At 43.1% G+C, this 22,813-nt stretch overlaps 1 protein-coding gene across 8 annotated transcripts in view, besides 3 other annotated features; it reads left to right on the forward strand.

The window, feature by feature from the left end:
- Window positions 1-22,813, forward strand: part of EGFR (epidermal growth factor receptor) — a 192,612-nt gene that overhangs the window by 38,072 nt on the left and 131,727 nt on the right. The gene's annotated exons all lie outside the window — the stretch shown is intronic.
- Window positions 9,824-10,400: an enhancer, noted in NCBI's record as "H3K27ac-H3K4me1 hESC enhancer chr7:55134605-55135181 (GRCh37/hg19 assembly coordinates)". NCBI's record gives its function as "activates a minimal SCP1, AML or CMV promoter by ChIP-STARR-seq in naive and primed H9 embryonic stem cells {active_cell/tissue: H9 hESC(naive and primed)}" and the evidence as "EXISTENCE:reporter gene assay evidence [ECO:0000049][PMID:30033119]".
- Window positions 16,589-17,788: an enhancer, noted in NCBI's record as "MED14-independent group 3 enhancer chr7:55141370-55142569 (GRCh37/hg19 assembly coordinates)". NCBI's record gives its function as "activates an origin of replication core promoter dependent on BRD2, BRD4, P300/CBP and CDK7 cofactors, and independent of MED14, by STARR-seq in HCT116 cells {active_cell/tissue: HCT116}" and the evidence as "EXISTENCE:reporter gene assay evidence [ECO:0000049][PMID:35650434]".
- Window positions 17,301-17,470: an enhancer, noted in NCBI's record as "active region_26008". NCBI's record gives its function as "activates an Ori minimal core promoter by ATAC-STARR-seq in GM12878 lymphoblastoid cells {active_cell/tissue: GM12878}" and the evidence as "EXISTENCE:reporter gene assay evidence [ECO:0000049][PMID:35858748]".

Consider the following 22,813-nt stretch of genomic DNA (forward strand, 5'->3'; position numbering starts at 1 on the left):
ATCATGGAGGGAGGGAAGTAGATTGACCCTCCTGGCTCCAGAGTACGGAACTCAGACAAACGGTCAGAAGCTTACAGGGAGGCCAATTTTGGATCAACTTTAAGAAGAATTTTTTAAAAGCTAGAGCAATCCTAAAATGGAATTTGCTCTTTATAAAGTTGCGAATGCCTCACCCTGGAATTGCTTAAGCAAAGTTGGGACGGGCAGTTGTGAGTAATCTCCTTTCCAATCCATACCCGCAATCACCAGAAACGTGGACTTCCCTGACACTGAGCACCTCTTAATTAAGCATCTCATAAGTGAACAAAACCCAGCCCTTCAAAGAAGTCACTTTATTTATGTGTGGGTCTGCAGCTTGGATTTCTTGATAATGTTAAATAAAACTCCATCTACTCTTCCACAAACACTTCAAGAAACCTAAGACTTTTGGCCAGAGTAACACCGAGGTTTGAGAGAAAGGATATGTGTGTGAGAGGTGTGGTTTCATTAGAACATATTATTTGACTTCATGTTGAATCAACACTTTTGTGCAAAATGCAGTTTTACCAGCCTCTTTCCTTGTTTTGGTCACATAATTTAACTTAACATTCTCGGTACTTGATTTTCTAACATAAAATGGGATTGAGAGGGGAATTTTGAAGTTCCCATGGTCTGTCCTCTACATTCTGACAGCTCATTATCTCTGCGGTATTGTTCTCACATTTAAGTGAGGTTAGCGGAGGCAGAGGCCTCTCAGGCCTGAAGATAGCCTCTGTTTTCAGGGAAATACTAGACTGTGAGATCTGTGACACTGAAGCACTAAGTTCATCTCACAAAAGCAACGTGCTCTTTTTAAATGGTTGATCAAAGTTACTTTCAAAAGGAAGTGTTAGTTTTTGTTATTAGCCGAAACAAGAGCTGCTTTAATGTAGTATATTTAAAATCATATCTCAATTAAGATGTTATTCAAATACTATTTGACCCACCAATCTCATTACTGGATATATACCCAAAGGAATAGAAATCATTCTATTATAAAAACACATGGCTGGGCACAGTGGCTCACGCCTGTAATCCCAGCATTTTGGGAGGCCGAGGCGGGTGGATCACGAGGTCAGGAGTTCAAGACCAGCCTGGCCAAGATGGTGAAACCTCATCTCTACTAAAAATACAAAAATTAGCCAGGCGCGGTGGCAGGCACCTGTAATCCCAGCTACTCGGAAGGCTGAGGCAGGAAAATTGCTTGAACGCGGGAGGCGGAGTTTGCAGTGAACAGAGATGAAGCCACTGCACTTTAGCCTAGGTGACAGAGCGAGACTCTGTCTCAAAAAAAAAAAAAGAACCACTTGCATATACACTATTCACAATAGCAAAGACGTGGAATCAACCTAAATGCCCATCGGTGATAGACTGCATAAAGAAAATGTGGTACATATATACCACGAAATACTATGCAGCCATAAAAAAGAACAAGATCATGTCCTTTGCGGGGACATGGATGGAACTGCAGGTCATTATCCTTAGCAAACGAATAAGAAAAGAAAACAAAATACCGCATGTTATCACTTATAAGTGGGAGGTAAATGATGAGAACACAAGGATACACTGGGGCCTACTTGAGGGTAGAGGGTTGAAGGGAGAGAAGCAGAAAAAATAACTATTGGGGTACTAGGCTTAGTACCAGGGTGACAAAATAATCTGTACAACAAACTACTATGACACAAGTTTACCTGTTTAACATACCTGCACATGTACCCCTGAACTTAAAAAAATTTTTAAAAAGATGCTATGCAATAAAATTCTCAATTAAGAATTTAACTTGGTAAATGTTCATTTAATGATCTAAAAATATGTGTCTGGATGGCTCTAGCAAAAAAATAAATAATAAGTTTCTCAGAGATGGTAAGGCTGAAATAAATGGGGAAAAATCTGAATTGTAATCCTTTTTCTGTTGGACCTGGTGTTGGGGTTTCACACTTGTGGGTGAATGTGGGCCTCCTGTGAGCACCAGCACAAAAGACTAAACTGAACAAAAGATTAAATGTCACCTCTAAAATTCTGTGCAACAAGACTTCCAGCCACAGAATGTGCAACTCAGATTTCCAAGTAAAAACACACCAGGAAGCAGATCTTAGATCTCTGTTATCTCCTTGGCACCAGCTGGTATTCATCCTCAATGCTAGCTAGAGTTGAAATAAAGAGTGAAAGAACTTTCTCTTTTATTACTTAATAAACTTCCTTTTTTGAGCTGTTTTAGGCTTACAGAAAAATTGAGTGGCAGTTTCAGGGAGTTCCAGCACGGCCCCTGTTTCTTTCTCATGGTCCCTGCAGGTTTCCCCTATTATTAACGTCTGTCATTAGCATGGCACATTTGTTACAATTAATGAGCCAATATTGATACATTATTCACTAAAGCCCACAGGTTGCGTTAGGGGTCATTCTTGGTGGTGTACGTTCTTCAGGTCTGGACAAATCTATAATGACATGCATTCACCATTACTATATCACGCAGAGTCGTCTCCTGGCCCTACAAGTCCCCTCCTTCCCCACCTGCTCACTCCTCCTTCCCACCCTCCCCAAACTGTGGCAACCATTTAACTTTTGACTGAATGGATTTATTCTTATTCTGCCTTATTGTATGTACACCATATTTTAATAAGATAAAATAATAGTCTATAGTAGACTTCTGTAAATACTCAATGAATAAATACTTGCATGAATGCAGGAAAAATCAATCAGTCTTGCAGGATTTCTTATGCGTTACATCGTCCTTATAAGAAAGCAGTCATTCTCACCGAGATGTGCTGAGCAGATACTGGACATGTTCTGACCCAGATAAGGGCTGGGTGGAAGTAGGGCTGGAGACACAGAGACCCAGTGCCAACTTCCAGGACCTCGGAAGAACTGAAGGCAGAGAGGTCCTCTCAGTGTGGACTGGGCCTCTGCTGGCAGCCACCAGCGGGCACAGAGCTGATGTGTGTTATGCCACGTGGGGAAAACCTACAGACGATTCTGAGAAAGGCTCACAGGGACACCCTCTGCCCCTAAAAGAACAATTTAACTCTAATTTATTTCTGTCACTCTGCATTTTCTGACCTTTCCCAAGTGTACAGTTTTATATGCATTTAACTGCCAAATTGTCATGTGAGATTATATGGTTATATTTCATTAATATATTCTAGTTTGTTCAGCTGTTCTTACTGGGTGAATTTGTGTGGTTTCCTGACATTTTTGTTTTTAGTAGTGCCTCAGTAGTTTTATACATAATTACGTTTCCCTTCTGGATTATTTCCTTAGTATCTAGTTCAAGAAGTGAAATCGCTGGATTCTTGTGGTAAATTTTTGAATTTCACAGTATAATGCTGATTTTCTCAAAGTCTCACATTCTAAGAAAGTATAATGAGGCAAAACAAACAACAAACATCTTAAGTTGATTTTTTCCTAGCATCTTTTCCTTCCATCTTTGCTTGTAGAATCTAGACTATTTCATGAACCCAAGATATAATCAGTATCCTTCTTCAGTATGGCCAAAGTGAGTTTCTCATTATTTTACCTCCCCTTCAGGAAATGACTTTTCATCTTGTGTTTTGGGAGCCATAGATGGTTCTGGGCAGGAAACTGGCTTTGGATAGACCCAGCATGTAGATGGCTATTTGGCCTTGCTCCCAGTATAACGATGCAGTTCCCTGTGAAAGGGTATGAGTAGGTTTTGGGGCTCTGGATACCGTGTGGCCTGAAGAGACAAGGGCTCAATGCCAACTCTGCCTGTTTCCAACTGTGTAACCATGTGAGCGTCAAAAATCATGGACGTGCTCTGGTTAACACTGAGTGGGAGCTCAACAAATTATTATTTTTAATTGTTACTTGGACATGGCCAAGTTGACTACACTTTATGTTCTGCTACCTGCCAGTCTGAAAGTGACGCCACAGAAGGTGAACCGCATGTTGGGAGATGCTCCTCATCTGCTTAAATGAGGTGCAAACACAGCCCATGCGCCTGCTCTTCATGACTGTATCTGTACCAGCAATATTTGTATTGGCAAATCACATGCCCCAGTGGGAACTACTTAAGGGGAATTCAATGGATTTCATTCCTTTTATGTAATTGGCCACTTAGTAATAGACGTGTAGGTCTCTTGTGTGGATAAGGATTCTGCCTTTTATGTAAGATATGTGTTGCAATTCAGCTTTCAGGTCCCAGCCCCGGGAAGGCTCCAGGCCTTCACAAACTGGCCCACCCACGAGAAGGAAAGCAATTGTCCAAATGTGGGTAGCTTTTCTTCCCACTGTTGTCAGCTGCTTCCAATTAGCCCCCATATACATAATCCCAGTTTGTGTCTGTATCAGTACAATTCTCCCATGTCAATGTGAATTTTAAGCCACAGAGGGAAAGGGGACAGAGAATATGCTTTCATTCAGCTCTCCTCGTCTCACACCTCTTGCCCTGCATGCATTTCTTTGCTCTGATTAAACGAGCATTTTATAAGCCACATTTGCTGTGTGAAAGGCAAAGTCTTCCCTCCCACGGATGACGGTCTCCAGGGATGTGTGTGTGTGTGTGTGTGTGTGTGTGTGTGTGTGTGAGAGAGAGAGAGAGAGAGAGAGACTGTAAACATATATCTCTGTGAAACTTCATTTTCCATATGTGAATTTTTGGAACCGAGACAAATGGAACTTAGCTAAAAGATGGGAAAGGTAGACTGACTCTGACTTAATCTACTTAACCTACCAGGCAATTTATAACTTGATGGCCTAATTTTTGCAGCACCCAGAAGCAAGCCTGTTTCAGCACGGCAAAGGCTCAGCTGCTAAGTGGGCAGCATTGTTGGAGGTGAGCAGCTTAGGCTGACTGTTCATCAAAGGACCAAGCGCTTGAGGTTCGCTCATCGCTGGAGGCCAGAGTGGGGAGGGCCATTTAACTGCTCAAGGCCATGGAACTCTACTGTCAGTTTCAGGGAAATTTGGGACCCTGGAGCACAAACCAAAACTCCAATTAACCAGGAGAGGAACTCGATCCCCAGGAGATAAGTGAAGAGTAAGAAGTCTATCTTTAGAAACAAGAGATGTCCAAGGCTAGAAAGATGGGGAAGGAGGGTGGAACTGTTCTGGAAGTGGGTCTCAATCTCAGCACCAGCAGCTCTCAAGACTTTCTAGAGAAGGAAACTTCATTTCTGAATTAAAATTAGTCTTCAATGACATGGCAGGGATTTCGGCACACTCTCTTGCGTCATAGGCCACTGTGTTGGAGGCAGGAGTGTTGGCTTTGGAGGCATAGAGATTAAAATTAGAGTAACACGTGAGCACTGAAAAGGTTAAACAGTAGAGACATGGAGGACTCCCGACCCCCATGTACCCCTTTCTTAACCCTTTAATTAAGATCACAGCCCTAGAAATAGCTTGCAAAATAATTAACTACTGATCATTTATACCTTAGTGCTTCTGTGAGCATGTTTTCTCTTTCATTGCTGCTCATCTGCATGGAAAAATGTGCATGGGTTTCTGAATATAACTCCATGGTGCTTGCTTCCATTATATTTGTGCCATTTGGATCATAACTGATAAGCAACCAAAGAGTCCCATATTACTGCACGTTCCCATCGCTATTTTATGTGAAGGTGGTCCTGGGGGCTGTTCTGAATTCTCAGTTTCCTTTTTTCCCCTCCCCAGTTCTTTGAAAATATCAGAAACGGACTTGTGGCATCTTTGAAAAGCTACTTAAAATGTGCTGCTGTGCTCTGAACTTGAAAATGTGCTTTTAATACAAAGTTTGTGCAGCCCTTGCTGCTCATACGAGATGAATCTTACCATGTGGTGGATGCCCGTCTCATGCCAGGCACTGTGCTCTAAGCCCATTGGTTTATTTCAGTGCTTGAAATTGGCTTTCGAGAGAGGCACCACGGTTCCCTTTTTACAGGAGAGGAAACACCAGAGGATCAGAGATGGAGAGTCTTTCTCCACAAACTCACAGACCCCAAAGGCAAGCTCAGGGTTGTCAGCTTCCAAAGTCTGCCTGCTCCAGGACCTCATGTTGCATCTCCATTCTCTTCACTGAGGGTCAAATGGAAAGAACACATGGGGGTCAAGTTTCAGAAAATAAGAGAAATGAAGAAATATGTGCCCGGAAGCAAGAACGACCGACCTCATTAAACTGGCTCCCTTCACCTCCTCTCACATCTTTTTCTGCCTTTTGGCCAAGTTTTCTCTCCCCCGCATTTCCTCCTTGATCTCGTTTGAATCCTCTTCCCTGGTGAAGTCATTTAGGTTCAGGCTCTTATTTTACTTTGGTCCATAATTTAGATCGAACCACATGTGCTGATGTGATTGAAACGATGTGGAATTCTCTGGACAGAGATAGAATTATGGAGGGGTTAGTGTGTGTGTTTAAGATTAAAAGACCAGGTGTATGGGAGGAAATATAATGAACAAAAAATAGTATTTTAAATGAATACTAAACTTGCACTCATGGAAAAAGTTCTCTTCCCATGAGGTTCTCGCAAAGCATTTTACCATCAGCACACGCAGTTTTTCTCAGTTTTCTGAGATGGGGCCATCTTGAATCCAACAGACAACACACAGCATCAGCCAGACTAACACAAAGGACGTCATGGGCATGGACGTAAATACTGGTGTCAACACTAGGTCTGCACCTCGAGAGGAGTGGAGCAAAAGGATGGAGTGGCAGATGAAGGTATGCTGTTCAGAAAGGAGGCAGAAATGAAAGGAAGACCATCAGTGCGCTCCACAGCTTGAGGACCGTCCTGGAGGGCAAATGCCAGCTGCTCACTTCTGAAAAGAAAAATTCCAGTGAAATGAGTACAGTCATTCTTAGGATTACTCACTTGATACTGTGTATGTCTCTTCTTGGCTTCTCATCTCCACACAAAACCCTCAGGTGGTAAAAATCTAATTAAAAAAATTATATAAAGTCTTGTAGATTTATTAGCCTGAACATAATAGATTTTTTTTAAGCACGTTAAGTCTTCCATGGACTAAAAGAAAACTTGTAAACCTAAGAGAACCTCTATTTTTGATATACAAAATAATACATTTCCTTAAACTATGATCTTGATACTAGAATTTTAATTAAAAAATACCTGCAGTTTATATGCAAAGTTATAGATTAATGCTTAAAAATAGGTTGTATGTAGTATCCACAGGTCATGTTTGACTGTCAAATAGATGTAATTTTAATTCATAATAATTGTGTCGTGTTCTTCCCCACTAGAAGCCAATTATGCAAGCTTCACCATTCACACATGGAAAATAATTTAATGGAGTACTCATTGCAATTTCACTTATCCAGAATTGGCTGTTGTTCTCAGAGCAGCTTGTGTTGCCTTGTTAAGGAGAATATGTTAGTATCCAGACATCCAGAAAGGATCCTTTACTGTTTCAGAGTCCATTTTCCCCACTTTTGAAATACACACACAAACACCCATTCATGCAAACCAAACAGAGATTGTAAAGTGATTCCACTGACATTTATGCACTTCTTTTTTCTCTTTGGTTCTTCAAACTCTCAGTCAGTGCGCATTTACTCTTAATTTAGATACGGTTTAAACCTAATTAGAAACCAGAAGCTCTTGTATTTCCACAAAGGATTATGACAGCCCCAAGAAAAGATAGTGAAACCATTATATAACAAGATAAAGGCTTCTTAACAATACAAGGATGGATTTTCTCATTGATCTTAGCCTTCTGAATTTTAGAAATTGCCATTTCAAAGTCTAAAACAAAGGAAAATCAGGGAATAAAAGAATGGTAAGTAGACACAAACCTACTGGCTCCATCATTTCTGTTTTAGCAAATAACCTGCCACATATACCAATAGCCCAAGAGATGGGCATGTCCCTGCATTTCCTGGTCAAGGTGACAACACTGCGTCCTCCTGGAAGAGGTCTGCCACTCACCATACCACAAACCAAATATAATAAAATCAGAAGGCACACTATAGTGAATTTTTTAGAGGCATGTATTGAAAAGCATCTCAAAAAGCATTCTCGAAGCTTCCAGAAGTCAACTCAAGTTATCTGAAAAGTGACACTTTTGATGATTGCTCGCTTAATACTGGGAGAGCCAGATGAAGATTCCTCCCCACTTCCTCAGATGTGCAACTCTGGAATTTCTTAGTGTTACTGGAGATTCCTGCTGCATTCTGGGCCTTTAATGCATAAACACTGAGATGTTCTAAGGAAATTACTCCCTAGGGAGGAGAGGGGTGGACGAGGAGTAAGCTTTGCTGGTGACTCATGCGCTGTGTGGAAACTCCCTGCACAAGTGAGCTGCGCAGGGTGAGTCTAAAGGGTTAATGCACTTTCAAAAGCCTCTAATTTGTTATTCCAGAAGAGTAATTTACTCACTAGAAGTATCTGGGTGGCTACTAACACATTTGTGTCTTTAAAAAGATCAGTTTTATTTTAAGATTAAAAATATAAAGCAAGAGCTGGAAAGTCACTAAAAACTGACAGCCAGTTTCCCATTTTCAAGAGTATTTATTAAAAGGTTCTGGTTGCAGAAGGAATAAGAAATGGCTTGAGATCATGACACAGTGAATCATGTTGTAAACATGTTAGCTATGGCTGTGAATTCAACCAGCGATGAGTTCAAGCGTCCCCAGAAGGTGTTGGGGGAATTAGGGACATGGCTGTGTTTCCCCAGAGAAAAGTGGCCATTTTACTTTCCCTCTTCACTAACATGCTTTTGACATGCATGGCAGAGCTGAAGGCAAGGGGAAGGGGACAACATAGTAAGTGACTAAGTGGCTTTTTTTTTTTTTTTTTTGCCAAGTGAAGCTGAGTCATATGGCCTCTGTCATTCCAAAACTATTCTCTACGGCTGCATTCCTTTCGCTCTTGCCTTCCTTTAGAACCCTGGAGAAGGCCTCCTGAAGCCTGGCCCTATTATGTATCCTGACAAAGATAAACTTTTCCAAAAAGCTGCATGTTGTTTCTAGCACAGTTTTTCCTCGCAGTGACTACGTGATGAAAGTACCATGCAGAGGAGGTGTCTGACTGAGGCGTTCGTGGTGTGTGACAGAGTCCCCTGCACAGGACAGCCGCACTCCCCTCTTGCGTCCTTTCCTCCCATGTTTGCAAAGCCTCTTTCCCTGTCAGCAGGGGGTGTTCTGGCAGTTGACATTTCTGAAAACTACAGCCTACATTTTTAAAAAATCCAGTAAGTGAAAACTAAAAAATTAATACCGTGGTCATAATAGTGTGGCATTTGATAACTAATGAGGCACTGTCGTGCCAGCTATTATTTTCAGACATTTACAGTCCTTTTTTAAATACAAAGAAATATTTGGTGTGAAATGTTCCCCGGGAGCTGGTGCAAGCAGAGGCGACAGGGCAAGGGAGCTTGGGTTGTAGCCTCGAATTCCTCCGGCCAGGGCTACCGTCAGCCTGCGGCACACAAGTAAATCAAATATAAAACCAAAATTTCTGTAAGCAAATCAGTTTCTAACTCACTGTAACGAATTATCTTTCGCACATCACAGAGGCATCTCTTTTCACTGTCGAGTTTGGTTTGCTTGGTTACAAAAAGGGCAGTTCAAAAGCTTTGGTTGCTATTGTGAAAGTCAGCTGAATTCCTTCCACCGTGCTGGGGTGGGGTGGGGTTCACGCAGGTTCTCTTTTGTCACCAGGGGTGCTGTGGATTCACAAGTAAGCAAGAGGCTCCTCAGGTCAAGCCTCTGGCTGCTCCCTGAGGTCAGCTGCCTAGCTTCTCCTCCTCTGAGATAGACGGGAACAAAGTCTTTGATGTGTGCATTTCTCAAGCTTGACAATGATACAGCTACATAAAAACCCATGATTTCATATAGATATTCCAAAACGTAAAAGTAAACCATGCATCCACAGAGACATGGAATTACAGAACTGGATGCTGAGCTGGTCACTTGGGAGGCAGGCGTCCTTGCCATTGGTTTATGCCTCAGCCCCACCATGCAGTGGCTGGCCAGGTGACCTAGGCCAGTCCTGCATCCTCGGCTCCTCACCTGCCTGGTGGGACAGTGACATCTCTCCTGCAGCACTGCTGTCAGGGTGAGGGAGGTAGGGCGCAGTTTCAGAAAACCATTGGGCTGCACCTGCGTGAGCACAGCTGCAGGAGCAAAAGTCAGAAAGGTCAGCAAAGGATTTCAGGAGCAAAGGTCAGAAGAAACCCTCAAGGTGGTTGTGTCTGCAGGAAAGTGCTGTCGTCTCCTGCAATGCTTTCAAGACTATTCAGAAGCACAGTGTGAAGGGAGAGCCGGAGCCCATGGGGAAATGACTCCAGAGTGTTCCACGTGTTGGAAGGCATCTGTTGGAAAACGGACATTCAAGCAAATAGTTGCCTGCATAGACAACGCAGAATGACTGGGAAAGCCCCAACAAGTTACCTACTGGTAAATGAGGTGAGAAGCTTAAAGTGAGAACCCCATTGCTGCCTCTTTTTCACTTTAAAAACATTTAAGTTTTGAATTATGGTAAAATACACGTAAGATTTACTACTGTAACCATTTTTAAGTGTACGGTTCAGTAGTGTTAAGTATATTCACATTGCTAAGGAACCAATCTGCTACTTTTGTTTATTAATTTTTTCCTGAGGGGAAATATTTTTAAATTTTAAAATATTTAATTGACAAATAAAAATTGTGTATATTCAAGGTGTAGAACATGATTTCATATGCACGTACATTGTATACTCATTACCACAATCAAAGAAATTAACACATCCAACCCACCCATAGTTGCCATTGTGTGTGCGCGGATGTGCGTGTATGTGTGTGTATGTGTGCACGTGTGCGCCTGTGTGTGTCTGTGTGTCTCTGTGTATACGTGTGTGTACATGTGTGTACGTGTGTGTTCCTGTGTATGTGTGTCTGCGCACGTGTGTATGCATGTATATGGGTATGTGTGTACGTGTGTACGTGTGTGTGCATGTGTGTATATGTGTGTCTGTGGGCACAGGTGTGCCTGTGTGTATGTGTATATGTGTATGTGTGTACATGTATGTACGCGTGTGCATACGTGTGTGTGTGTGCACAGGTGTGTATGTGTGTGCCTGTGTGTGTGTGTGCATGTGTGGTGGGGACACTAAAAATCTCTCATCACCTTTTTAGTCAAAAGAACAGTTGTTTTGGTTTGGCTCTTCTGTTTTAAAATATCAGAACAATAATAATTTCCCACAGACAAAATCCTCAATCCTCACCATCCTTCTATTTCCTATATTCATCATAAACTTCATGCTTGATGTTGAAATTGTTTTCTGAAAATAGAGAATACAAAGAGGAGATTTTAAAATGTCAGTGGCAGCCCCACACTCCTTTTTAATCTTATTTCCTGATATCTTGAGTTTACTTGGACGTAGAGTTTTCCTTGACTATGGTTATTTCTGGTAGTAGCAGCTCCAGATTAGGCAATGGTTTTCTTCAGAGATAGCTTAGAGTGAGCCCCAGAACAAGGTCAATGCGAAGATTGCTTGTGTCTGCGTGTCCAGGGCACAGTGATCCTCATCACTAGCCGGGGGGCTCCGTGAGGATCTGCTCCTGGTCGTTTCTGTTCTGTATCTTCTCTGCAGCCCTTACTGAAGCCGTTACCAACTGGCACAATTCAATTCCTACTGTACCCATCATGCACAGATGGCTGAAGTATTGAGAACGCTCCAGTGACCGGGAGGCAATAGTCTGTCCACATCTAAGAACACACTTGGAATAACCTTAGAGAAGAGAGAGAGAGAGAGAATGCATGGTTAGTAGGTTATCAAACTCCTATGACTTTTCACAGGAAAAGCCCTCATCCACACCAACTTTAGGAATGTGTAGAAAGAAGGGTCAGGGACAGGGGTGAGTGGTGGGCAGAGCAGTTGGAGGGCACAGGGAAAAGGCATCTGGTCATGTATTTGGAGTAGGAGGTCTTGCTTTACTATTGAATTGCAGGGACACTTTGGGAACAGTGTTCACTTCTTTTTGCAACCATTTCTTCAGAGAAAAGTCATGATACTCAAGTCTTCTTACAAAGCAGTTTGAGGCTTTGAGTACCAGACTGATTACAGAGATGAGTATGAAGCATTATTGTAGTATTTTTAAGTGAAATTCACTAAATGCAAATAAACCTAGCAAATGCTCTATGGTTAATTTTTTTCTAAAATTCAGATAATTAAGACAATTCATTCTCCTGAAACTGCTGTTCATGTAAAAAGGAATTTTATCGAGGTGGCCCTTGAGTGCCAAACAGCCTGTCCTCAGCTGCAAAATGAGTCGTTGATGATCCTCCAGCAAGGGATACTTTTTAGCTCGTGTGGTGATTGCTGCACACGGGATATGTGCAGCAAGTATCTGCTGAGCTAATAATAAACAGCCTCAGACAGAAAGACAGTGGGCACAAGGTCATGCTTAAAAAGACCCCTTGTTCTACTGCATCCCAGCTCCCCACCATGGGGCCTCACAGGCCCTGGTGACCAAGCACATCAGACCTGGTTCTTGCTCAGTCCTGGGAGCCACAGAACCCAGCACGTACTTTACCCCCAAGACCAGACTCCAGCTTGGCTTTTGTCCTCCTCTCCAGGATTGGTGACCTCCTAGGTCGTGAAGCTGTGATGAGCAAAGACACACTCCTCTCCATTCTCCCAACTTCAGGTCCCTTTGACAGTGTCAGCAGGCATTTAAATAGCAGACCACCCACAGCAGGGCTGGTAGATGCAGTGAACTCAGGAAGATGCCTGCATAGACTCTAGTGTTAAAGACAGAATCCTTACAAGGAACCCCCATAGTTACCTAACTGCTGTCTCCAGTGGTCATAGAAGTGTGATAACCCACTAATCATCATTCTCTGTCTCTCTGTCTTTCTCATACACACTTACACACACATACACACAACCTTGTTGCTTAATTTTCAGAGAGTCTACTTTCAGAAAAGCCTTCAGGAATACATCATGTACAAAACTGAGAAATTACCTGAAGTATCTTTAAATTTAGTAAAAAGTTGCATTGTTTTTTGAACATCACACTTGAAAAGTACATGAATACAAACATACTTAGGAAAAAAAGCTTTAATTAATTTAAAAAGGAGAACAATGCTATATGCTGTATCCCACCTTTCTCTGAATGTTACATTTTCTCCCCTATCCCAGGCTGCATCTAAGAAAACTCAGAGGGAATATGCTATCTATCTTTTCCGAGCAATGAAAGCTCTGGGTTTTTTCCTTGCTTTTCAGGGCACAATACTTCTCTTTCTTCCTGGTTAGACAGGATAAGTTCTGAGTCCCCTGGTATCATCAGCTTACTTCTTCTCTGTTAAATATTCACAAAAAATCACTAACTTTCATGCCTCAGCAAACCTCCACTGCCTAAAATATAGTGAGGTCATTCATCTTCGGACAAATTGCCCCAACTACGGTGGGAAAAGAACCAATGTGTTGGACTATTTATCTAATTTTTGTTTAGTTCGGGGATACAAATAAATGCATAGATACATACAAACATGCGTACATAATAGCAGCAGCAGCCTGTGAAACATTGACAAGACCTGGAGTTGGAAGAGGACTTTGCCATCCTCCAGTCCAACAGTTGCCTGTCACAGATTAGACGACTGGGATGTGCGCAGGCGATTATTTGCAAACGGCCCTGAGTCCCCCAGTTTATGTCTTAATTCGCAGCCAGGGCTGATTGTAGAAGCAAATTTGCAAACATGTGCAAGAAGAAATCACACATCCTAGAGCTTGGATTTCCTCGTTTCTTGCTATTTCTATCCGTAGACAGAACCATTGCTGAGCTGTTAAATTTGTCTCCTTCCCCTATACCAGTCTTGAAAAAGGAAAGGAAGTGGAGCAAAGAAAAAGAAATTAATAAAGCCGGCAGATCCTAGGAGAATCTTATTTAATCCAAGCTTTGTAAAGTTTTGCTTTATTCCATGGCAACATGGGTATACACATCCCACCGGCTGTTTCAGTGGCTCAGAGCAGGTAAGGCCTGTGCCAAACGCCGCTAGCAGGAGGAACAACGTGGAGACAGCCCCAGAGGTGGAACGTTGGCCCTTCTGTGGCTCCGGTGTCTCAGGACCTCCCTAAAGCCCAGCCCTGACACTGAGCAAGTTTCCACCACTGTTAGGAAGAAGTAGAAAGGAATTTGGAGGGTTGGTGTTACTGTTCAAGAGCTGGAAGGCTTCTGCCCCCATTCCCATTCCATTAATTGCGTGAGGTAGAGAACTCATAGAAGATAGGAACACATATGCTGATTTCCAAAATTGCCTTTGTATATTTTCACGTGAAGACTTTAGGGGCAAAAGAAAAGAAGCAAGCATTTTGAATATGTGTTTCAATTTGCCTTCTGTTATATAAAATTGTATTTTGCCTATTCTTTTTTCATTATTCGGAACCTTCAAGAAATAAATTAAGTTCTCTCAAAAATGTGTTTTTTGAAAAGAGGACTAAAACAGATGGCCTGGCTGTGTTAAACACAGGGACCAGACCAGCACCCACCTCTCCACCTGCCCTGCCTTCACTGGCAGAATTGTGATCCATCATGTTCTCTGTTCAATGTCATCATCCCTTTCAGAGCATGGGTCTCTTCCTTTCTAGGCAGTCTTACCAGGATGCATGGGTGTGCCTGCGTAGGCACACGCACAGCTCCCAAGGACTCTAAAAAAAGATATTTTTCTGCTTATATACTAATAATATGTTAGAGATTTATGTTTCAAATTAGTACAGAATCACATGGTTCTCTCCAAATTATATTTGAGAGAGAAAGAATAGAACAAAATTTATTTTACAAAAATACTCAGTACATTTAGGGCATATACAAAGATGTTCCAGAATGTAGCTTATCTCTTTAAAGACAATTAACACAGTTTCTGGGCAAGGCAAGGCAAAATATTCAGTAACTTAGCAACACCAACAGAAGACAGCCAATATTGCAGCACATTTTTCTCTTGGATTGGGTCAGAGAGTACTGCAGAGAAAATGGAGTAGAGAGACCTGAAATACTTTCGCACACACTGTGGTCAGTGCAGCGTCCACTGTGTGCCACAGTAATACTAGAAACTCCCTGGTTAGGCCTTGGAATCCAGCTCTCATTTCGTATGTGACCTGCAGGGAAGTAAGTTAAATGCACACGTTTTATCAAGTTCAAATGCAAACTTAATTTTAAATGTATGCAACATCAGTTTAAGCGTTGTAGCTATTACTAGCAATTGTACCTATTACTAGTCTGTACTCTGCACAACTTTGGAGTATACTGCCTACTCAAGGTGGATTTTAGAGCTCTATTTGTGGCATTATATCACGGACAAAAGCACGTTCATCAGAGTCAGAGGAATGTGGTGCAAATCCCAGCTGTCCCACTTACCAGCTGTGGGACTTGAGTAAGCTCCTGAAGCAGCTGCACCTGCATTTTCTGGTGGGCACCATGGAGCTGTCAGCAGTGCTTTCCTCAGAGGGCTGCGGGCTGGATGAGGTTTGCTGGTGCATGTGAAGTGTCAATCATTGCTCTCATGAGTGGTGATGCTGATGCCGTTCCCTTTTTTAGGGAAGTGATTTTCCCTTACAAAGTTACCAACAGTTTCATGTTGGCCCATTTTTCTATTAATTGTTTCCACTAATAGGACCAACAGTGGTAGTCCCATCATTTTATTACTGCTTGTCGTAGCACAAGCAGTTGCTTCATTGTGTTTAGATAAATATTGACGGCTGCTTTTAACAGTCTGCTGTTTTGTCTCCTTTTGAGGTCCTTAAAGTAATCCTTAAAAAGATAGTGCAGATGGAAAGATGTCTGGAGTCAGTGAACCTGCCTTCTTTCCTGTGTGCTTGTCAGTTTCTAAAATGCCATACACAAAGGACTTTCATGATTTCTTTTTAGGTACATGATTACAGTTCAATTCACTTCACTGTCTGGAAAATTTCCTTATAATCAGGATGAAATTTCTCATGTTAGCCTTTCACATTTCACTACTTTTAGATAAGGAATTCTCAGGCTTTGCTATATCTGACTGCTCTTGGAGGCTGAGCTTTTGGCTAACTACCTGACTACTTTGTCGTTTCTCTTCCCTTGGAATGAAGCAAATATCTAACTTCTCACTCATTGTTTCTGCTATTTTACCATTTAGTCATCTGTGATTTTTCTAAATACTGAAAGACTTCCCTCAATTCAAACTATGTGCCGGATCAAGGAAAGGGCAGTTGGATATTGCAGACAGCATAGTGCAATTGTGAAGAGTGTCTGCTTACCAGCCACGCTGCCTTGCACAAGTTATCAAGCCTCTCAACCCACTTCCTCAATCTGTAAAATAGGTATGAGTGTAGGACCTTCCCAGGGGATTTTTTTGTGACTATAGAATGATTCTCAGAAGACTTTCAGGCAGTATGTGGGTGAGGCACATGCTGGAAAGGCTTCTGCAGGTGCAGTGATCAATGCTTTTCTCAGTGTGTACATCCCATAATACAGACACGTTACCAGAAACTCCCTAGCCAGGACTTTGATTGCAGCTCACATTTTGTATATGGCCCATAGGGAAATGAAGTGTGTATTTTTTATAAAGTTCAAGTGTTAACTTAATTTGGAATTTACTATCAAATCTCAGTTGTTATGGGCATTTATAGCTATTAATACTTCGTCCCATGTGTCCCATGAGGAAACCAAGGAACAGAAATTAAAGTTCTTTCTGGAGTCCCCTGAATCTCGTTCCTGTTCTTTTGCACCCTGTTAATTACATAGAGACATTCACAGCTCTTCTGACCTTATCAGCGTTAAGGAAAACAGAAAACCAGCGTGCTATTTGTTCTGTCCCTTAGTCAAGCCTTCTCAACATATATTTTTCTTCCAAGATTTTGCATGTGCACAGGGATGCCTATCCTCTACAAGAAACACATTTTAGGCAAATTATAATTAAAATGCTGTTTACATCTCTTCACCTTTAGAATTTAAAGAATGATCATTTCTTAGATTGCATCTCAGACACACCCTTCCCCTAGTCTGGAGAGGGCGAGGCCCATGGGTACTGCAAACAGCCTGACGTTGTCAGGGGCGGTCTCAACGGCTCATTCACCACATCTGCCTCGCGAAGGCTAAGCCATGTGCTGTTACCCCTGCTGCGCTCTGGCTCATTCTAAGGTACACGCTATTAACCTTGTGAGAAAACAAAGAGGCCAGCCCCACCCTTCCTGCTCACTCTGAGTCACGGTGAAAATGTTTCAGGATCTCGGGTTCGACCATGAGTCCTGTCCAGGTCCAGGAGGAAATTCGGAAGGACCACATGTTCACTCTGAGATCCCACTTTCATTTCCCTCCTGGTTGAGCAGCATTAATACTCTGGCTAGATTTAAATTCTGGCTTTCTCCAGTTAGAACTGAAAGTTATGACAATGTAATCAAAATAGAATGTGGGTTTACAGCTGGCCCCCTGGCCTGGTTTGTGAACATAAAACAGAAACAGAAAGTGTAAGTGGTGACATCATATTCTCTCATTCAATGTGAAAGGCCACCGAAGTCTTTCCAGAATTATTTTTGAGAATAATATGAATTTTTAAAAAATACCTAATTATTTTAAATATCGTCTTGCTTGCTCCCCAAATACCTACTGTTTTCAACTTGGATATACGACATGATTAAAGAATATCTAATATTTGGGAATGCATACTTTAACCTTATAAACTACCACTGTAAATAGACAGACTCATTAAAGTGAAAGGACATTTTAAATCAATTAGTAAGCAAATCAATTAGGTGGCAAAGACAAGATTATTTTTCCTTATGGTAGTTGAAGAATAATGCTTAACCTGTCATTCTAATTACCAAGCACGGTGTTCTCTTTGGAAGATCATTTCAACAAAACATTATTTTCATCCAGAATTTGAACCTTGAGATTGCATGGTATTTTAGAAATCTATTTTAGAAATCTTTGGCAAAGGTTACTATTAAAACAATCACATTCATGGAAAATCAGTATAAGAGCAACTAAAATAACTCACAATACCAGTAAAATCACTTTGTCATCTTCTTAAGACTTTTAAAGAGCATTTGTAAGTAACTGAATAGAAGGCCAAAGGGTGTGTAGGTAGCCCAGACCATCAGTGGGCAGCCAGGGCCAGGGCAGGGGCCACGGTTGCAGCCTGCATTCTTCTAAAGGGCAGAGCAAATTAAAGTTGAAGCAGGAGCTAAAAAAAAAAAAAAAAATGTTTCAAAGAATTCCACCAACCAGAGGATACTACCTAGGACAGTTTGGGCCTAACTTATCTGTGAAGGCCTCCAGCTTCCTCCACACCGGTGGCCACTTTTCATTCACTCTGAACCCTTCTTTGTATGGAGGTCATTTTATTAATTGAGCTGTGACCAACATGACAGAATTTCCTGTTTTAGGGCTTTTATAATATAGATAGTTTATATCTAATTTCAGAATATATTCACTGGGGAATGGACTTAGCAACCACTACCACAACAATGCAACAATGTGTTTTGGAACAAATTTACCAATCTGAATTTCCCCCTAGATTAGGTCACAGGAACATTGCAGCTGATGTACAGCTATGTTCCTCCTGAAACTTGGAGACACATCCTCTTGAGCTGGGTTATAATGGGCCACCCAAAGCTCGAGTTCCTGTAATGGATACACTCAGGCAGCAGAACCTACCACCGTAGTGAGGACAGCACCCAGAGCCCTCAGAGGCCATCACAAGTGCACCACAGCTGCCTTCTCTGGCACGCTCAGAGCTACACAGTGTACTCTGGGATTGGAACTCTTTATTTTTTTTTCAGTTGATTTGTAAATAAGATTGCACAAAAATCCATGCACATCAACTCTCCAAATCAGAATTTGCTGAGCTAAAAAGAGCATTAAATTAGATGGGCTGGCTTTCAAGGGGTGGGGGTGCAATAGTGGAACTCTGCACAACAGTTCTTTACAAAGAGACAAGCAAGCACATCGCGTGGAAATTTCCATTCAACTGGAAATGTCCAAGCCTGTTTACCTCAATTAATTGTCCTTGTTCACTTGTCCAGCCTAGCAATTGTCCATTAGTAATTTGTTATAAATGAGACATTTGGTATTAAAGCATCTCTTTGGGATACTGGTATGGTTTATTATAACATTCTGTTAGTAGTGTTGTACAAGCTTGAGATGTATTAATACGAAATCCAAGCTGCATGAGGGCTTTATTTTTCAAGCCTACACCTTGCTGAAATTCTGAATTAAAATATGATTCTCAGTACAAATGAATAAATCAACAGAAATGGTAACGCATGTCAAATATTCTTAAAACCCAAGAAAGCCTTGTAACTTCCTTCAATCTAATGGGAAATGCAGGCAAATACAAGACTGATGTCCTTGAGTTTTATTATCAAGACTCAAGGGCACCAGTAAAATCTAGTTTCATTGGTTGGAAAAAAAATCCTGATAAGCACTGTTAGGCATATTAACTTTAATGATTACAATTTTTAGGACACTCTGTGGCCTAGACTTAGAAACACAACTAATGTCCAGAAAAAGATTCCTCTTTTTATTCCATCATCTGATAGGCCTATTTTTACACATACACACCAACCAAAAGTAGCCAAGCAAACAAAACAACATACTCACACCCCTTCGCCTATTATCATCTAGGTGATTTTCAATGCTCATTGCAATGAAACCTACTTATTGTGCATGGCACCCACCCCCACTGAGGAATACTGTAGTTTCTTTCCCTTTGAACTTCATTAGTAGAGCACATGGTTCATTCACTCCTGAAGAGTTCTTCGTATGTCAGAATATATATACTACAACATAATTTCCATCAGAGCTCTGACCACCCGCTTATCTATTTTCATAATGCCTGCCACTCCATCATTAGCTGTTGTCATGTAGGCTATCAATAAATATATGACAAATAAAACAGTTAGGGAATGAGGGAAATTGACTAGCAGCCAAAGACCTAAGCCATCCTCTGCTTGGACATTAGAAAACTGAGTTCACTACAGTCATAAGATACACAAAGGCAGAATGTAAGCCATACAAAAATCCATGTCAATCCCAATATGTGAGTACAACTATTGAACACCATGTACTAATGGATGAGTTGGTAAATCATTCAATGTCTTCATGAGGTCAATTACAGATTATTATTTAGACCCCAAAGATTCCAAAGATGGTATTTCGGTCAGATCTTCATCCTTTGTAAGCCTAGCAGAAAATATGGCAGTTTTATTGACTACTATTCTTTGCTGGGTGTGGTATTTTTAAACTGAGACATCAGTGTGCCTAGCACAGGGCCTCAAGCACACAGAAAAATTCCTTGATAATAATTAAATAAAATTTCAGCAAAAAATATCATCTTAAGGCTGTGAAATTATCTTCCTGTGTGGCTAAAATAGTGAATAAAATTCAGCGCAATATAAATCATAGTACAATTTCATCACTAAATTTTCTGATCTTGATCTTGTCATTTTACATTGGAAGTAAAAATGTGTCCTCCTTTTTTTCTCTGACAGTGAAAAGTGTGTGTGTGTTGTGTGCCCTTTTGCACACCCTGCCTCACACTTGCTGGTCTAATTCCTTCCAGCATGATTATGATATAATTAAATGACAGAAATGTTTACTTCCAAGTGGAACTAAGCCAGGGTAACTCAGGGTAGGGCAGCTGCTTGCACCGAAAGACCAAGACTGCTAGAGAACTAGGAAACAGGCGGTGCAAGAACTCCAGGCTCTCATGGAAGAGCGGGAGGCTTCTATGGGGCTGCAGAAACTCTTTGGTGCTTGGGGAAAAAATGGGTTAAATGCTCTTAAAAAAGAAACCTGGGAGAGGTAGTTTCCAGATGCAGGCCCGTCTTTTCTTTTAAACAGAGGCAGCTCCGAAGAGCTGGACATTGAACCCTGAGCAGGAACTGGAGGCCGTCAGCGCAGCTTTGTTTGGCGAGCGGAGCTTTGCAAGGGTGTAATGCTGCACCAGGGAGACGCTATCTGCAGGGACCGGTGACGCCGTGGGTGTGGAGGGGGAGGCAGTGGCTGGCCCTCTTGGGGTAAGGTACGCCCAGGAACAGTTTAGAATAACGTGCGCGAGTCAAAGGGAAGAAGAAGCTCCTGCAGACCTTCTGGGCACTGTGCAGGGTTTGCTCCTGTCCACCGTGCCGTGTTCCTGTCCTGGGGTATTTGGGTGTGTGGCGTGTGGGGAGGGGAGAAGGAGCAAGGCGGCAGGGAGGGGATGAGGACCACCCTGTCCATGGGACAGGCCCTGGGCCCCGCACACACCCCAAGCCCCGCGTCCCGCGTCCTCACTGTCCTGGGACACCCCCCACCCCACCCCACCGCCACAGCCCAGAGCGGTGCCAGGAAGCCGCCTCGACGCAGCCGTATCTTGAGGCTCCAGCCCCATCCCCAGGGTACCACGCCACGTAGAGACACTATTTTTCACTTCGTGTTTGTCACTCCTAAAGCATGTGTGCTAGCTGCACCAACCCTGGGATGCCTCGGTGCATAGGGTTTATGTGCGTCCTCCTCCTTCCCTCTGAGCTGGTCCCCCGTGGGGAACTGCTGCCCAGACTGACCTGCGTCCTTCCGCACGTGCAGGAAAATGTCCACGTGCACTTGTCAGGGTGGGGGCCACACGGGCACCACCACTGATCATCTGTGGGATCGAGTTACTGCCCATGCAGATCCCACGTGCAGGGCCCAGTCGCTTTGGTGAGAGAGTGGACGCTGTGGTGACTCCACGGTCTGTGGCTGTGCTCAGGAGGACAGAGAGGGGACATCCTGAGATGGTTTGGGCAGCCCGCGGATCCTGTGCATGTCCCCAGAGCGTCCACTTTCTCCATGGAGCAGTGGAGTGGCGTTGCTGAGACAGAAAGTTCAGGTTCTCCACTCCCCATGCAGCCCCCACTCCCCTGTCTCCGGCCAGGCACGCGTCTGGGGTGGAGACTCCCGGTGCCCGGGGCCCTCCAGACCTCTTTCCCCACCCCAGGGAGCAGGCGGGTACTTCTATTCCGTTTGGCTTCAGAAGGGAAAAGAGAACGTAAGTTCAGGGAGTTCTCGTCCATTCCTCTCCCGTGGGCCGGGCAGGCAGCAGGGACAGCCTTCAGGAGCCAGGAGGGGCTCGAGCTGCGAGGCCCTGGAATGAGGCAGGCATGGGCTGAGGCTGGAGGGAAAGCCCCGCTAAGGCTGGGCGGGGGCGGGAAAACTTACCACCAGGGGACTCGAGATGGGGAAGGAAAGGTCAGAAGAGGAGAGGCCAGGCACGGGGTGTGGGCGGCCTGCAGAGCTGGAGCAGGTGCTCCGCCCAGAGCCAGGCATGCACACTCAGAGTAGGTGGCCTGTGCAGCGGGGAAGAGGGGCGGGTCGGCGTGCTGCTGAAGATGCAGGAGCTGCGGCCTGCTCTGTGCGTGCTGAAGGTGTGGTGAGAAGCACTTACAAAAAGAAATGGACTGTGTTAGGATTGCACATTTTACTTTGTTTCTCCCAAATACGTGTTCTTTGAATTTTTTTCCTTCCAGGGCCAGGACTGGAGTGATGGTTGAGACAGGCACGCACTGGGTCTTGTCTGCATTTACATTTTGAGATTTTGTTCAGCATGGATTTTATGGCGTTTTTTTGTTTGTTTGTTTGTTCGTTTTCAAAATACTGCACGGTTTATCGTGAAGACAGGGTCCTTTGCTGCCGTCTTAAGTTTTGGGCCCAAGAACGTGCCCCACCCTAGGCCCGGGCCTGCTGGCTTCATAGCTCTCATCATTCCCACGGAACCTTAAGACCTGAGGACAGAAAGGAAGGAAACAAGCCCAGTAGTCCGTGAAAATCCAGGGTCCCGCCACTCCAGGTGTCTGCAGCAGAGCTGAACACACGTAGGCTCTTGCCAGGAGGGGCATTTGTATGTGCTGAGCATTCCTTATATTCTCAATATGACGC

Source organism: Homo sapiens, chromosome 7 (genome assembly GCF_000001405.40).
Source record: "Homo sapiens chromosome 7, GRCh38.p14 Primary Assembly".
NCBI classification, from domain to species: Eukaryota; Metazoa; Chordata; class Mammalia; order Primates; family Hominidae; genus Homo; species Homo sapiens.